Source organism: Homo sapiens, chromosome 3 (genome assembly GCF_000001405.40).
Source record: "Homo sapiens chromosome 3, GRCh38.p14 Primary Assembly".
Lineage (NCBI taxonomy): Eukaryota > Metazoa > Chordata > Mammalia > Primates > Hominidae > Homo > Homo sapiens.
In genome coordinates, this window is record NC_000003.12 from 150,147,012 (window position 1) to 150,165,866 (window position 18,855).

The following is an 18,855-nucleotide window of genomic DNA, read 5'->3' on the forward strand; positions in this document are numbered from 1 at the left end:
ACTGTGTCCAGTGTTTGGAAACATATTTGGCACCTCCTTCTGCTTGCTTAGGAAAAGCTCCCTGAGTGATGTAGCTCTCAGTTCTTTCTTTAATCTGGGAGCTTTGTAGTCTGTCCTTTGGGTGGAAAATTAACCTCATATATGGGATCCAAAATGAAGTTAATTTCCACAAGTGGGAGGAAAAACAGACGCCATGACATTTCCTATGTAATGCCGTCACGCATTCTCCTTTCCACTGTGCAGCACACTGGGGTGGCACAGCTCCAATATGCAGCCTGCGTTATGTTAGAGGCTTGACTAGAGGGTAGGATGGAAGGGCCGCACGTGAGCCAGCTGCAGGAGGAGTAAAGTGTCAGGAGGAAAGGGACAGAGTAGGAAAGGGACAGAACAGTCACGCTCTGCCCCAAATTCACTTTGTGACGTTGGGCAAGTGGACTCACTCTGACCCTTGGTTCCTCCCCAGGCAAAATGAGGGGCAGAACTGAGTAAATTCCTCCCAACACTAACATCTATGATTCTATTTTCCCCTCCCAGTGACCACTTCCTCTGAAAGTACAGCTGACTCACGACCCCAGGCAGCTTAAGATGTGCTCCAAGCCCTTTCTCATCAGTAAAGCCTGACTAATATCAGCCTGAATTTAAGGCTGTTTAGCAATTGTCCTGCCTGCAGTTGGGGGTGAAGGAGGTGAGCTCCCCATCTGTGCAGGCTGGAGGCTCTGCATTTACCCACTGTGATCATTGCCATGGTCTATTGCTGCTTCGTCTTTAAACACTGTTTACTCTGCCTTTCCTCTCTCCCAGCATTCTTCTGAATTGGGCTGGATGATTTCTCCTTTTCCTTTTCAGAAGTTTAGTTTACCTTTAGCTTTAGCTTGGAGCTTTGGTGATGAAAGAAAAGAGATCGTATTTCCTCTAGTCAGAGCTGTATTTTCAGGGCACAGCTGCCTGGACCCACTAGAAATATAACAAGAGTACATATGAGGTCATGGTCAAATCCCATCCGGCTCCCTCCTAATAGGAGAAGAACGCAATGAGAGTTTAGTCTCCGGAAAGTCAAGCTTAGCCAGGCTTGTGGGCTGGATGCTGGGTGCTGGTGTCATAGTAGATCAGTTGAAGGGACGGTGTTTTTCCAGGTTCTGGATGGAGCTCCAATCTTTTCTCTATTTCTAAATTCTCATGACTGCCTAAGGGCTAGGAGAGGCCTTAATCTTTGATTCATGGAATGTTGGAACCAGAAGGTCTCCAAGTGCTGTCGTGTTGTGACACTGAAGCACTGTTTATTGATTCCCTGGAAAGCCCTAACAAATATGACTGGTGCAGAATGCACTTTGGAAGGCCATCTAGTCGAATTAGGAGTCTTGTAATTCCATGTTCATGTCACCTGTGCGTGTGACCAGTGTACATATATGCACAGATTTGCGCATGAAGCAGGTGACTGGGGAACGAATGACCTATTTGCCAAAGCATTTGGAATATTCACTCCAAGACAGCAATTAGCAATAAATCCAGGTCTTTGAGCTGGTAATAATATCTACATGTATACAGTATTGATTGAGCTCTTATGATATGCTAGGCATTATCCTGCAGGCTTCATAAAGATTGTATTATTTAATGTTCACTATGATCTTATCAGATTGGGGCTGCTATTCTTCACACTTAATGAATGGGGAAACAAGGCTGAGAAAATTTAAGTAAAATTTAAATTTTCCGAACTCACAAAGCTGCTCATGTTAAAAACAAAATTTAAACCAAAGTAGTCCATCTGCAGAGCTGTGCATCTATCAAAAAAACTATACTGCTCCCCTACATGTGGTCTCTGTCCCAATGACATGGTGAATACTTTTCATTTTGCAATGAATTTCACTTAGTGTAGGTTAAGAACCAGGATTTTGGAGATTTAGTACTGCCTAGATTCAATCTCAGTTCTGTCATCTGTTGTTAGAATCTTGGCCAAGTTGATTAACCTCTGTGCCTTAGTTTCCTCGTCTATAAAATGGGGATAATAATGGTATCACTCTCACAAAGTTGTGATGATTAAATGAGAAAACATAAGCAAAGGTCTTAGAACATAGTAATGCTAGCCATTCTTAACTTTTTAGCTATTATTAGTAACAAACATGTATTGATTACCTACTGTATTTCAGGTATTAGGTTCTTAGACGTAGGCAGAGGAGAGGGACAGGATATTATGGTTAATAAAAAAAGATGTTATAGAGAGGGAAAGATATATTTTAAACCAATCATGATATAAAGTGTTATAATCCATAGTGGATCACTAAGAAAGGATTGACAGGCAGAGACAAAGTTGCAAAGGGAGGTTTGGGACCAGACTTGAAAGGATACAGAAACTGCAAGTGCTAAAGGGTTGGGACTTCATCCTGTGTAGGCAATGTAGGTAACCAAGGAGCTGAGGTGTTTTTAAAATAGTGGTTGGTGGCACAATCATTTAAGGGTTTTACTAACCACTGTCTGAACCCTATTTAGTTAAAGGTGAGTATTAGAAAAAGTTCTAAGAGAACAGAAATGGTCCTTATAAAAACAGTTTTGCCAGATTTTAAAAAAATTCTGTTTGCAAGCTGATCTGTAGATTTTATATAACATTAAAATATTCTCTGTACCAAAAAAGGACTTCAAATCATTTTATATCCTGATCCCACATGCATTGTGCAAATGACTCTCATTGACTTAATACATTTGGCATCCTCTAGCATGTATAAAACATGCTTTATAAATAGTAACATAGCCCGTGCTGCCAGGGCCTCCTCTTGACTCAGGCAAAGATGACAGTGTATTCTCTTAAGAATATGAGATAATGCATGAGGCAGTTCTTGCAATATGTATGCCAGAGAAGGTTTGAGCTGGGGCATAATCTCTAGGGAATGGGAATAATTTTAAAAGTCAAAGCTATGGTTGGCTGGTTTTTACAGCAATAAACCCAACCTGTTCCACCAGTTCCATTCTGCATGGTTGATTAAGTGACCAGCATGACCAGCCAGTCATTCTCTGCTGTGTATGCCCAGCTCAAACACAGAGAGCTAAATGAAGTGGAAAAAACCCACATTAATAAAGGAAGAGCTGAGGATGTGCAAGGATTTAGCACAAAATGTTCATCACAGTGTTAATTAAAATAGTAAGGATGCCCAACATTTGGTAAAGTGTTTGACTGTTATAGTACATCTGTAAGACTCACTACTTCGCAGTTATTGAAAAGGATGATCTATAAAAGAATATAATAACACAAAGGAATTATACCACAGTAAATGATGATTTTAAAAAGAAAGCTTCTAATACTGTATGCACAATAAAATCTTATTTTTTAAAAGAAAAAAGATTCATGTTTTAATAGCTATTATCTTTAGAGGTTGAGATTATTGGGGACTTTTGTTGTATTCTTTTGCTTATGTATACTATTTAATTTTTCTATAGTGAAGATCTATTAATTTTATATCAAAAGTTAAAAAAAAAAATCTTCCCCTCTCTTCCTGCGTGTTGCCTACAGAGGGAAAGCCATCTCCTTCTTGACACCATGGCTACCCTTAGACCCCTCGTGAAGCCCAAGATCATCTAAGATGGACCAAGAAGTTTATCCTTCACCAGTCAGACTGACATATCAAAATTAGATGTACGCATATAGCAGCAACCCAGAGGCATTGACAACAGGGTGGGGAGAAAAATCAAAGGCGAGACCTTGATCCCCAACATTGGTTGTGGGAGCAAAAAGAAGCAAAACACATGCTCCCCAGTGGCTTCCAAAAATTCCTGTTCCACGATGTCAAAGAGCTGGAAGTGCTGCTGATGTGCAACAAATCTTACTGTGCTGAGATTGCTCAACATGCTTCTCCAAGAACGGTTAAAGCCACTGTGGAGAGAGTAACCCGACAGCCCAGCAGAGTCACTAGTCCCAATGCCAGGCTGCACAGCAAGAAAAATTAATAGACAGCTCATGTACACATTTTATTTGTGTTAAATAAAACCATAAATACTCTGTCATCTGGCATCCTCCCCCTTAAAAACATACAAAAAATACAAAAACAAAAACCAAGAAAATCTAAATAAAAGAATAAAATATTTGTGGGTGCTTTATACATGTTGCTCATTTAGTTCTCACACCAGTCCTATGAGATGGTGTGGCAAAAACCATCAGTGTTCTCCCAAATCCATGTGTTTCATGGCATTTCCAGACTCCTTTGCAGTCAGATTGGTCATATAAAAGACTTCCGACAGATGAAATGTAGACATGAGTTATGCACCCCCTTCCAGCCTGGCCTTACAATAGCCTACAGTGCTTTTTGCTCTCTCTCCTTCTCTTCTTCATCACACTGAAAGCAAATAACTCCAACTCGTGGCCCAATTAAAGGAGCTCAAATGTTCAGAGAGCTGCCCAGGAAAACCACCTATCTTCACCCACTTTGTGCTCCCTCTCTCTTTCTGTCATGTGAGGATACAACAAAAAGTTGGCAGTCTGCACCCTTGAAGGGGGCCCACACTTGGACCCAAGTATGCGGGCACTCATCTCAGACTTACAGCCTCCTGAACTGTGAGAAATATATTTCTGTTGTTTGTAAGCTACCCCACGTAAGAATGTTTTATAGCACCCCAAACTGTCTAAGGCAGTGCATTTACAAGATTGATATTCACAGTCATTATTGGTATAATTGCATCAACATCTAACATATTTGTGATGTTTTCTATTTGTTGCCCTTGATTTTTCTTTTTATTTTTGTCTTTCACACTTTTTCTGCCTTTTATGGTTTTAATGAGCATTTTATCTCCTTTATCAGCATATCATTTGTAGTTCTTTTTTTTTACTTTTATTTATGGTTGTCCTAGAGTTTGCAGTAGACATTTATAACAAATCCAAGTCTACTTTTAAATTACACTATACTTCTGTAGTGCAAGTACCTTATAGTAACAAAATATTTGTAATTCCTGTCTTACATTCCTTTTATCATGTTGTTGTTCATTTCACTTATACATAAGCAAGTATATATGAATACATTGTTTGTGTTATTATTTTGAACAAGCTGTTAGAACAATTAAGAAAAAATAAAGAGTTGAAGAAAGATATAACATATTAACATTAATTAAAAGAAAGCAAGAATAGCTATATATTAATTTCAGACAGAATAGACTACAGATCAAGGAAAGTTATCAGGGATAAAGAGAGGAATTACGTACTGATAAAAGGGTCGAGTCTCCAAGACAGGGCAATCCTCAGTGAGTATGTGCCTAACAACAGGGAATTGAAATATGTGAGAAAAAGCTAATAGAACCGTGCAGGAGGATTATGGCAGGATGGCACTGTAGAAAGCACCAGGAATGTGTCTTCTCACCTAAACACCAATGGCACTAGCAGAATCTGGCTAATGTAATGGTTTTGGAACTCAGGAGTCTATTGAAGACTTAAAATTTTCAGGGGAAGGCTTGGATGGTAAATGCTGGTTAATTTCAATCAATTTCTGCTGTTAGCACAGTAGCAGTTACCCATCCCCCATCCCTCAGCTCTGGGACAAGTAGCTGTGCACATGTTCCTGGAACAGCCTGCAAACAACTTGCAGAAGCCAGGTTGGGTGAAAAGGATTCTGTTCTCAAATATCCTGGATTGGTACCCTTCTGATCTCAGAGATGCAGATGAAGAAGAAGCCATTGTTGTTGCATTTCCAAGCATTGTTGCGAGTCCCTTCCCCCTTGGCTGATGTGACTTCCAGCAGAATGTAGTATACCACATTAACAAAATGAAGAAAAGGTCACGTGATCATTTCAATTGATGCAGAAAAAGCACTTGACAAAATTCAACACCCTTTCATGATAAAAACATTCCACAATGTAGGAATAGGAGGAAAAATTACCTCAACATATGAAAGTCATATGTGAAAAATTCACAAGGCACATCATACTCAATGATGAAAGACTTAAAGCTTCTCCTCTAAGATCAGGAATAAGGGAAGTATACCCACTTTTATCATTCTATTCAACAGCATACTGGAAATTCAGCAAGAGCAATTAGGCAAGAAAAAAAAAATAAAAGGCATCCAAACTGGAAAGGAAGAAGTAAAATTATCTCTGACACAGATGATATAATCTTATATGTAGAAAGCCCTAAAGATTTCTTAAAAACACTGTTAGAACTAATAACTGAGTTCAGCAAAGTAACAAACAAAACTCAATTGCATTTCAATACACTAATAATGAACAATCTGTAAAGGAAATGGACAGATCCAACAGGCAGAAAATCAGCAAGGACTAGTCCAACTCAACAACAGTATCAATCAAATGGATATAAGGGCCTCTGTAGACTACATCATCCAACAACAACGCAGTACACAAACTTCTCAAGCTCACATGGAATATTTTCTAAGAGAGACCACATTTTGGGGCATAAAACATGCTTTAATAAAAATGAAAGAATATAAATTGTACAATGTCTTCTCATAACACAATAGAATTAAACTAGAAATCTATAACAGAAAGATAGCTAGAAAATACTGAAATACTTAGAGATTAAACAACATACTTCTAAATAACACCTGGGTCAAGGAAGAAATCACAAGAGAAATTTTAAAATACTTTGAAGTAAATGAAAATGAAAACACGACTCATCAAGATTTGTGGGACGCAACAAAATCAGTGCTTAGAGGAAAATTTATAGCATTGAAGGCATATATTGGAAAAGAAGAAAGAACTAAAATAAATAATCTAAACTTCCACTTTAGGGAACTAGAAAAAGAAGAGCAATAGAAATCCAAAGTAAGCAGAAAAGAAATAATAAAAATTAGAGCAGAAATCAATTAAATGGAAAAGAAGAAATCAAGTGAGAAAATCAACAAAACTGAAAGCTTGTTTTTTGAGAAGATGAACAAAATTGAGACGTCTCTAGCCATATTAGCAAATAAAAAAAGAGAGATAATACAAATTACTAATACAAAAAATGAAAGAGGGAATATTATTATAGTTCCCATGGACGTTAAAAGGACAATAAAGAAGTACTATGAGAACAACTCTATGCCTATAAATTTGATAACCTAGATTAAATGTACCAACTCATTGATAGACTCAAGTGGCCAAAATACACACACAAGAAGGAACAGACAATCTGAATAGACATATATATATGTGTGTGTGTGTGTGTGTGTGTATAGATGTTTATATGTATACATGTATCTATACATACATATACAATATATGTGTGTCTATATATATGTATACATATATATTTAAAATTTGAATCAATAATTAATAACCTTCCAGGCCAGGTGCAGTGGCTCACACCTGTGATACCAGCACTTTGGGAGGCCGAGGCAGGCAGATCACCTGAGGCCAGGAGTTGGAGACCAACCTGGGCAACATGGTGAAACACTGTCTGTTCTAAAAATACAAAAATTAGCAGCGAGTGGTGGCACATGCCTGTAATTCCAGCTACTTGGGAGGCTGAGGCATGAGAATCGCTTGAACCCGGGAGGCAGAGGTTGCAGTGAGCCGAGATGGCACCACTGTACTCCAGCCTGAGCAAAAGAGAAAGACTCTGTCTCAAATAATAATAATGATAATTATTATTGTTATTATTAACCTTCCAAAACAGAAAGAAACAGGTCCATATGGGTTCACTGGTAAATTCTACCAAAAATTTATGGAATAAATTATACCAATTCTACAATATTTTCCAGAAAATAGAAGCAGAGGGACTACTTCCCACCTTATTCTATGAGGCCAGCATTATCCTAATACCAAAACCAGACAAAGACATTACAGAAAAACAAAACTACAGAACAGTATTTCTCATGAACATAGATACAAAAATCCTCAATAATATATTAGCAAATAGAATCCAATAACAAGAATTATACGCCACAACCAAGAAGTATTTATTCCAAGTGTGCAAGCCTGGTTCAACATTTGAAAATCAATTAATGTAATCTACCACATCAACAACTAAAGAAGAAAAATCACACAAGCATACCAATTGATGCAGGTAAAGCATTTGACAAAATCCAGCACTCACTTATAAAAACTCTCAGTAATCTAGAAATAGAAGAGAACTTCCTCAACTTAATATAGAATATCTACAAAAACCCACAGTAAACATCATATTTAATGTTGGGAAACAAAGATTCCTGCCAAGATCAGGAACAAGGTAAGAATATACCCTTTTACCTCTCCTTTTCAACATTATACTTGAAGTCCTAGCTAATACAATAAGATAAGAGAAGAAAATAAAAGGTATGAAGACTAGGAAGAAAGAAATAAAACAGTCTTTGTTTACAGATTATGTAATTCGCTATCTAGAAAATTTAGAGGATCAACAAAAAAGTCTCCTGGAACTAAAAAATGAGTATAGCAGTTTTGCTGAATACAATGTTAATAGACAAACGTCAATAGTTTTTCTATATACTAACAATGAACAAGTGGAATTTGAAGCTAAAACATACTACCATTTATGTTAGCACCCCCCAAAATGAAATACTTAGTTATAAATCTAATAAAATATGTGAAAAACTTATATGAGAAAAACTGCAAAGCTCTGATGAAAGAAATCAAGGGGGAAATAAGTAAATGTAGAAATATTTCATGTTCATGGATAGGAAAACTGAATATTGTAAAAATGTTGATGTCAGTTCTTTCCAACTTGATCTATAGATTCAGCACAATTGAAATAAAAATCCCAGCAAGTTATTTTGTGGATATTGACAAACTAATTCTAAAATTTACATAAAGAAGCAAAAGATTCCAAATAGCCAATTCAACATTGAAGGAAAAAAACAATCAGAGAAATGATGCTGTCTTTAATACTTATTGTAAAGCTACAGTGATCAAGACAATGTGGTATTAGCAAAGAATAGACAAACAGATCAATGAAACAAAATGGAGAACTCAGAGATAGACCCACATAAATGTAGTCAACTGATCTTTGACAAAGGAGCAAAGGCAATACAATGGAGAAAAGATAGTCTTTTCAGCAAATGGTGTTGAAATAATTGGACATCTACATGCAAAAAATCTAGACAAAGACTTTATGCTCTTATAAAAATTAACAGAAAATGGATTATAGACCTAAATATAAAATGCAAAAATAAAAAACTCCTAGAAGATAATGTAGGTGAAAATCTAGATGAATTTGGATATGGTAATGACTTTGCAACACCAAAGGCAAAATTCATGAAATAAAGAATTTGATAAGCTGGACATTATTAACATTTGAAACTTCTGCTCTGTGAAAGACAATTCAAGAAAATGAGAAGATAAGCCTTAAACTAGGAGAATATACTTGCAAAAGACAGATAAAAGACTGTCATCCAAAATATAAAAGAACTCTTAAAACTCAACATAAGAACTCAAACAACCCAATTACAAAATGGGTCAAAGACCTTAACAGACATGTCACCAAAGAAGATATACAGATGCCAAATAAGCATATGGCAAAATGCTATATACATCATATATCATTAGAAAAATACAAATTAAAACAATAAGTAAACACTAACTATGCACCTATTAGAATGGCCAAAGTCCAGACAATTGATAACACCAAATGCTGGCAAGGATGTGGAGCCACAGGAACTCTCATTCATTGCTCCTGGGAATGCAAAATGGCACAGCCACATTAGAAGACAGTTTAGCAGTTTCTTACAAAACTAAACATACTCTTACCATATGATCCAGCAATCATGCTGCTTGGTATCTACCCAAAGGAAATGAAAATTTATATCCACTCAAGAACCTGTACATGGATATTTACAGCAGCTTTATTCATAATTGCCAAAACGTGGAAGCAACCAAGATGTCCTTCAGTACGTGAAAGGATAAACTGTCATAAACTGTGGTACATCCAAATTATGGAATATTATTCAGTGCTAAAAGGATATGAGCCATGAAAAAACATGAAGGAAACTTAGATGTACATTATTAAGTGAAAAAAAGTCAATCCCAAAAGGCTATATACTGTAGATTTCCAGCTATAAGACATTCTGGAAAAGGCAAAACTATGGAGACAGTAAAAAGATCAGTGGTTGCTAGTGGTTAGGGAGGAGGGAGAGATAAACATGTGGAGCACAGAGGATATTTAGGGCAGTGAAACTGCTCCGTATGATACTATAGTGGTGGGTATATGTCATTATACATTTGTCCAAACACATAGAATGTACTACAGCAAAAATGAATTATATTGTAAACTATGGACTCTGGGCGATAATGATGTGTTAATGTAGGTTTACCAATTGTAACAAAGGTACGATTCTGGTGAGATGTTGATAATTGGGAAGGCTGTGCATGTTCAGGGCAGGAGTTGTTAGGAAACCTGTACCTTCTACTAAATTTTGCTTTGAACCTAAAGCTACTCTAAAAAAAATTTATTAAAAAGAGATAATCCTTCACTATGTTAAGCCATCAAGACTTCAAGCTGTTTGTTTCAGCAGCATAGCCTATCCTACCTTAACTAATATAGGTTTATATTATTGTTATCTCATTTTACAGGTGATGTAACTAAGGTTCAGATTGTCTTAGTCAGTTTTGTATTGCTGTAGTAGAATATCACAGGCTGGGTAATTTATAAAGGAAATAACTTTATTTCTCACAATTTTGGAAGTTGAAAAGTCCAAGATCAAGGTACTGGCATCTGGTGAGGGCCTTCTTGCTGCATCATCCCATGGCAAAATGAAAGAGGGTGAGACAGGGCAAGAGAGAAAGAGAGAAAGCAAGAATGAACTCACTTTTATAACAAACTCACTCTCATGTTAACAAACCCACTCCTTAGATAACGACATTAATCCATTCATGAGCATAGAGCCTTCATGACCTAATCACCTCTTAAAGGTCCCACTTCCCAACACTGTTGCATTGGAGGTTAAATTTCCAACACATGAACTTTAGGAGATACATTCAAGCCATATCAGAGAAAAAGCAACTTTTCTAAAATTGCAGAACTATATACAGGGTAAAATTGGAACTAACCCAATGCCTGTTACACTCTAAAGCCATAGACTCTACAACCGCCTATAGAGAGTTATACTTTATTTCCCAGGATGTGAATGCTTTCAACATATGGTGATTTTTAGAGTGATTGTTAGCTATACCCACGGGCTGATGGGGGTGTATATAAAAGCTTGAGGTACATAAAAATCATTTGAAGTGCTGGTTTTTAAAATGCCAGTTCCAGGACCCCATTCTCATAGATTATGATTCAGTAGCTCAGGGAAAGGAACATGGAATCTGCATTAAACAAATACTAAAGAACAAACCAGTGCCCACAGATTTATAAGGTAGTTAACCTCAGTGATAGACAAGAGCCATCTTTCTGGCTTTTTTGCCCATGACCTCATCTGATGTTTGGGGACATTCTCCCTTCTTTTGTATCTTACACCACCACCCACCACAGAAGCTGAAAAATAACAATCACACGTGTTCCCAGATCTCAGGTGAATGACCTAGGCTTAGCCTCTCAGACACACCTGCCCCACACTTGGAACCAAAGTTAGTGAAGGAAAGAAGTAGACTTGAGAGGAGCCCTGTGATAATCTTGTGACTCAGTGGGCCAAGCAACAGTGCTGGTAGAATCCTTCCCAGAGAAGTCCTGGGGTGAGGTTTTAGGATCATTCTGGACATAGATCGCTCCAAACCCAGTTCTTCTGCTTTCTTGCCATTTCTGTGAGCTACTCAAAACCCTTTTCACAGTTCAGCTTAAATCCACCAGAGTGGATGGTGTGCTGTTGCTTACTATTAAGAACTCTGACTGTGAATTGAAATTGCAGCCAAGAGTGTTTGGATATTTCATTCACACCTTGAATACATGCAACCACCCCCCCACCCCCAACTCTCTTTCCCCAAGACTATAATGATACTTCCTTCATCTTATTCTACCTTTTCCCTGGCCCTCTCAATTATTTTGTAGACAAACCTCAGGAGACCCTCTCTGGCAAAGGCCGAATTCTCTCATGGTGGGGCTCTAAAATGATTAGTGTTGAACGGGCAAAGACAGAATCCACTTGAAAGAGCTTGGAGAGGAAATCTGAGAATGTGCATATGTATATAAATTTTTTGTCACATATTCTAAAAGTGAATGAGGCCACCTCCCCCATTCTTCTGCTGCTTCACACTGCCTTATAGCTAGAAGTAGAATGGATTTTGCACAGGGAAATCCAGAGTCTCCATATAGCCTTGTTGTGCTGCTTATGAGAGCAGGATGAGCAGACGATTGGAGCACTCACAACCCAAACACTTGCACTCTAGAAAAGCATAAGGTGTAGAAACCCCAGGACACATTCCCGGTTGTGTAAGAAATACTTTCCTTTGTTTTTCTTTGACAACTGAATTCATATTTTAGCTTTCATCCTGCCTGGTGGCAGAAAACTTAATCTCAGTCAATTCAGAGTTCCCTTTTCTCCCTGAGTTTGTGGCTAAGTTCCAGGAGGCTTATGTCACAGCTTTGGGAAAGGACATCTGGCTCTTGGTAATCATCTATGAGGCTGGCATCTGCTAAGATTCACAGCATTTTCTCTCCTCTTCAGTCCATAGGTGTGCTGTTATCCATCCCCATTTCTGACATCTGGGCCTCCCCAAGTGTGGCTCTTTTTTATTCTCTCAGCCTACTTTTTGGTCTACTTTTCCATGTATCTCCCCTCTCTGCTTGTGAGTATGTGGGACTTCTACGAGGCTGCTTTAGGCCCCTCATCTGAGACACCCCATAGAACCATCTTTACTGGTCACCCCTGTGTCCTGCTAGTGCAGGATCAACCAGGGAGGCTTACCACCCCCCAGGTTCTACATGGAAAGCAAGAATAGATGCCCTGTGCACGTGGATTCCTCAAACCTAGTTGGGATTCTGTCACTCCTCCTTCCACCCCCAGGGAAGGCAGGGAAGGGGTGAGAGGGGGAGAGTGAGGGAGGTGGGAGAATGATAAGGGGACCTCTTCATGGGCCCAGCTTTTTATACTTCCCTCCAGTCCTCTTCTGCCATTAATCCAGGAAATATGTAGAGCTAGTTTGGAGGGTGGGTAAAACTGGCTCTGAGCCATTATGTGTTCTTTGAAATCTTTTGTCCTATGTCCTGTGCTCTTTCTGGTCCCTGCTGTGGCTTAGGCATTTAGACCTAAAAAAGCTTCTCTCCCTCTCTGCTGTGTAGTTCCTACCCTGAGACAAAGTACACCGCACTCCCCACAAGCTGGAGTGGGAGGAAGAGCCGCAGGAAAATCCTGGGCTAGGGTGGGCACCCAGTGGTTATCTTAAAACATTATTTCACAACAGGGGTCCGATATGAAATGTACTGCTGAGAGTTTTTTTTTTTTTTTTTTTTTTTTTTTTTTTTTTGAGACGGAGTCTCGCTCTGTCGCCCAGGCTGGAGTGCAGTGGCGCGATCTCGGCTCACTGCAAGCTCCGCCTCCCGGGTTCACGCCATTCTCCTGCCTCAGCCTCCCGAGTAGCTGGGACTACAGGCGCCCACTACCACGCCCGGCTAATTTTTTGTATTTTTAGTAGAGACGGGGTTTCACCTTGTTAGCCAGGATGGTCTCGATCTCCTGACCTCGTGATCCGCCCGCCTCGGCCTCCCAAAGTGCTGGGATTACAGGCGTGAGCCACCGCGCCCGGCCTTTTTTTTTTGCTTTTTATAAATTTCCAAGAACGTCATGCTCCTCCTACCCATTCTTCCCAGCTAAACAGTCATTAGATTATAAGACAGGCATTCAGAAGGGTTAATGGAATTGATCCTTTTGATAATGTCTATTTACTAAAAGAACAGAGATTGTCTTATTTTTATGTACTCTATATATGTAACTTTTATGTACATTTGAGATTAATTGCTATGAAATGAAGTACACCATTTTCCTCTTCTTGACTTTCATATAAATGACATCATGGAGTATGTACTTTATTGTGTCTGGGTTCTTTTGCTAAGCTTAATATTTGTGAGATTCACTTATGTCATTCTGTATATTTTTCATTACTGTGTAGTATTCCATTGTATAAATAGGCTAGGGTTTATTTACCTATTCTTCTGTTGGTGGACATTTGGATTGTTCCCAATTTTTGGTTATTATGAAAAAAGCTGCTATGAACATTCTTGTACATGTCTTCTAGTAGACACAGGCTTCATTTCTCTTGGATATACACTTAAGAGTGGGATTGCTGGGTCAAAAGATAGTTATGTGTTTAGCATTGCTACATAATGCCAAACAGCTTTCCAGGACTTGTAGGGATTTATACTGTCACCATCAATATGAGAGTTTCAGTTTCTTGACATCTTAACCAATAATTCGTATCATCGGTCTTTAAATTTAGCCATTCTGATGAGTATATAGTGTTATTTCATTGTGGTTTTAATTTCCATTTCCGTTATGAGTAATAATGCTGAGTACTTTTCCATATGTTTATTAGACAATTAGGTATTTGAATATCCTCCTTTGCCATGTGTCTGTTCATGTCTTTTGACTTTTCTTGTTTCTTCATTTTTAGAGACAGAATCTTACTCTGTTGCCCAGGCTGGAGTGCAGTAGAGCAGTCATAGCTCACTACAGCCTAAAACTCCTGGGCTCAAGTGATCCTCCTTCCTCTGACTCCCAAGTAGCTAGAACTACAGGTGCTTGTGTGCCACCACACCAACTAATTTCTTTGCTCATTTATTATTTAGGTGTCTTTTTTCTTATTGATTTATAGGAATTCTTTATACATTCTGGATGTAAGTCTTCTGTTGGATATATGCATTGCAAATATTTTCTCCCAGGCTATGGCTTGCATTTTCACTCCTTTAATGGTGTCTGACTTTTGATGAGTAGAAGTTCTTAATTTTAGTGATGTCCAATTAATTAACGTTTTACAGTTAGTGCTTTTTGTGTCCTATTTAATCTCTGCTTAATCCAAGTTCATGAAGATATTATTCTGTGTTTCTTCTAGAAGCTTTATTTTTTCATCCTTCACATGTAATTTTTACTATCAATCTCAAAATAATATTTGTGTCTGATGTAGAAGGCAAAGTTCTTTTTTCCATATGGATATACAATTGCTATAAAACCATTACTGAAAAGATTCTACTTTTGCCTTTGTGTTGTTATTGCATATCAAGTAACTGTATGTATGTGGGTATATTTCTAGGCTTTCTAGTTTATTTTGTTGATGTATTTGCCTGTCCTCAGGCCAGTACCACACTGTATGAATCACTGTGGCTTTATAGCAAATCTTGAAATTTGGTTGTGTAAATCCTTCAACTTTGTGTTTTTCTTCAGGGTTGTCTTGATTATTCTAGGCCATTTGCATTTCCATGAAAATATTATGAATTTCCACAAAAAAATCTACTAGAATTTGATTGGAATTTCATTGAATCTGTAGGTCAATTTGGGAAGAACTGACATCTTAACACTTGAATATCTAATTCAATTTAGCAAGGTTACTGGATAAATCTATGTATATTCCACTATGTTGTCTGATTAAAAACAGTGTCACTTCTTCATTTCCAACCTTTATATATATTTTTTTCTTGCCTTAATGAACTGGTTATTTCCTCCAACATAATGCTTAATACTAGTGGTGATAGTGGGCATTCTTGTCTTATTTCTGGCCTTGGGGGTAAGGAGATCACTATTTTACCATTTATGTAATGTTAACCTTAAGAATTTTATAGGTACTCTTGATCAGATTAAGGAAGTTCCCATCTTATCCTAGTTTACTAAGAGATTTTATCATGCATAACTTGAATTTTGTCAAATGCTTTTTCTGCATATATTGAGGTGATATTATGATTTTTCTCTTTTATTTTGTTAATTTGGTGAATTACTTTGATCAATTATTGAATAATAATCAGTTTTATAGTTTCGTAAAGCTTCACTTGGTCAATGTATAATCTTGTTTCTTTATCAATAGATTCAATTTATTAATGTTATCTTGTTTGGGATTGTAATGTCTTTGCTCTTAAAACATAGTGGCCTATAATAGTCCTTTCTTAGAATGTCCTTGGCAGTTTTTGATATTAGAATTATGCTGGCCTCATAAAACCCCCAAATTTGGAATTGTTTCCTCATTCTTCTTGAAAAGTATATTAATTTTCCCTTAAGTATTCAGAAAAATTTATCAACAAAGCCATCCGAACGTACAGTTTTGCTCTGTTTTCTGGGGTGGGGCAGGCTTTTAATTACAGATTTGGTTTTTAAAATCAATATAGGATTACTTATTTTTCCTATTTCCTCTTGCGTCAGTTTAAATAATTTACATTTCTCAAGGAATTTGTTCATTTCAACAATGTTGTAAAATTTTTTGGCATTTTGTTTTTAAAATTTAGGATCTGTAGTTATACTTCTTTTAAAGTTCCTGACATAGGTAATTTGTGATTTTTTTTCCTTCTTAATTTTATAGTCAGAATTTATCAATTTTATTGCTCTTTCCAATAAAACAATTTTTTGTGTTATTCATATTTTGTTTCTACCTCCATTTCTATTTCATTGATTTCTCCTTTTTTCTTTATTTCCAGTCTTTTTGTTTTTTGGTTTGTTTCATTTGTATTTCTTTTTCTTGCTTCTTGAGATGGAAACCCGGTCTGGGTTGTATACCATGATGGTACACAAAATAGTACAAGGAGTTGATTTTATATTATACTGAATCACATACTAAGAAATGTATTCTTTTAAATTATCTTTCAGTCCTTCTAATTAAATCAAGAAGAGTTTCCACTTGAAAGTTTTAACAGTTCTCTAATTCTTGCCTATCTTGCTATTTTTCTTGTTTAAACAGAGAACAGGCCCAGGCTCAGAGCTTTTATCAAGCCCCAGGATGGAGCTAAAAGTTAACAACATTGTTTGGTTTGCATGGCACTAATTTTCAAGTTAGTTTCTGTTTATGGCAAATACTCCTGGTTTTCTACCCATGGGAATGATATAAGATCTCTTTTTAAAATATATGTATCTAAGTAAAAGACAAATTAGTTTAAAGAAAACTATTAATATGTTGAGGCAAGTACAGTGAAAGGATACTTGAATGACTGCGTTTGGAACATGCAATTCAATACTATTGCAAGGTGTTTGTTATTATCTTCCAAAAAGCTTCTATTCCAGATTATAGTATTCCAGTGCCTTCTCTGCCTTTGATACAGAAACCATTGGCCCCTCAGGGAGACAAACCTTTATTTGGTTTTAAAATCATATCTTTTTCCTTGGGCATTTCTTCAGGTGTAGAGCACACAACTGAAACCAGCAATGAGAGCTGTTTAAAGTTTTTTTGTAGTATTCGTTTTTCCTTAGGGCTTTTATTTTTTTATTTTTATTTTTATTTTATTTATTTATTTATTTTTTTTTTTTTTTGAGTCGGAGTTTCACTCTTGTTGCCCAGGCCGGAGTGCAATGGCATGATCTCTGCTCACTGCAACCTCCGCCTCCCAGGTTTAAGCAATTCTCCTGCCTCAGCCTCCCGAGTAGCTGGGATTACAGGCATGTGCCACCATGCCTGGCTAATTTTATATTTTTAGTAGAGACGGGGTTTCTCCATGTTGGTCAGGCTGGTATCGAACTCCTGACCTCAGGTGATCCACCCGCCTTGGCCTCCCAAAGTGCTGGGATTACAGGCGTGAGCCACTGCACCTGGCCCTTTTCTCCCTTTTTTAAAATTGAGATGGGCGGGGTCTCACTATGTTACAAATATTGTAAGATGTTAATTGTAGAATCTAGGTGGTAGATACATCTGTGCTCACTGTAAGTTTCTTTCAACTTCTATATATGATTGAAAATTTTTATAACAAGAGATTGGGAAAAAATCTAACCCATTTTGTGTTTTCCAAAGGAAGCATGTAGAAAATAGGACTTTTCAGATCTGCATGCAGTGGTGGTGAAATGGTCTATTTGGGTCCCTAAACAGCGTCCAGCACATCATGAAGGTTCATTGATTGCTGCTGTGTTGCATGTTTGTAAACTCACAGTTGTCTGACTCACCACCTGTGATTCTACCTGGGAGGCTGGCAAGGCAGATGTTACCACCACCATTGTTCTCTCTTTTCTTTTAAGATTAAAACCATTTTATTTTGTCTCTAATACATTTCTCCCCAAGTTGATAGATGCAGCAGTAACCAATAGTAAAATAGTCATCCATACAATTCATCTTCTTACAGAGAATCATGACTTTACAAACACAGACTTACAATCTATCGGGAAAGAAGAAGGCTGTTTTTAGAGAGCAAGCCCCTTGTAAACCTGACTTTGTTGTAAAGTACTGTTCTTTTTATATAATGTTAAATTTGATGTGCTTAAATTTTATTAAACATTTTTATATCTGGGTTTTTTGTTTTGTTTTGTTTGAGACAGAGCCTTGCTCTATCACCCAGGCTGGAGTGCAATGGCATGATCATGACTGACTGCAGCCTATGACTGCAGCCTAGAGAACTTCTGAGCTCAAGTGATTCTCCTGCCTCAGCCTCCTAAATAACTAGGACTACAGGTGTACATCACCACACCCAGCTCATTTTTTAAAAATTTGTTTTGTAGAGACAAGGTCTTACTATGTTGCCCAGGCTGGTCTCAAACTCCTAGGCTCAAATGATCCTTCTCCTTCAGCTTCCCAAAGTCCTGGTATTACAGACATAAGCCTCTGAGCCTGGCCCATTGTTCTCTTTTTGTAAATAAAGAAACTAAGCCTCTGAACTAAGTAATGATGACCTTAGGGGATGCACCAGGCCTCTGATTCCCTTTTTGCTGAGTGCTGCTCTGAGTTATCAGGGTGAAAACTATCTGATAAGGAATCTATTTAGCCAAGGTATTGGTGATTCAAAAGTGTTAAATATGCTTCTCCCAAGGGTTTTTGTATTTTTTAAAAAGATCAGTAGAGCAATAACTAAGCCAGTGAAATAACTAAACCTTTAACTGTGTAATTTCAGTCATAGTCAATGGAGACTGTTGG

At 37.5% G+C, this 18,855-nt stretch overlaps 1 long non-coding RNA gene and 1 pseudogene across 1 annotated transcript in view; both read left to right on the forward strand.

Annotated features, from left to right (window-relative positions):
• The window catches only part of LOC105374313 (uncharacterized), a 54,559-nt gene extending 50,569 nt beyond the window's left edge, over positions 1-3,990 (forward strand). The window contains exon 3 of the long non-coding RNA NR_136187.1: positions 3,500-3,990. This is a non-coding gene — a long non-coding RNA (uncharacterized LOC105374313). The remainder of the gene's footprint in view (positions 1-3,499) is intronic.
• On the forward strand, positions 3,471-4,003 carry RPL32P9 (ribosomal protein L32 pseudogene 9; annotated as a pseudogene).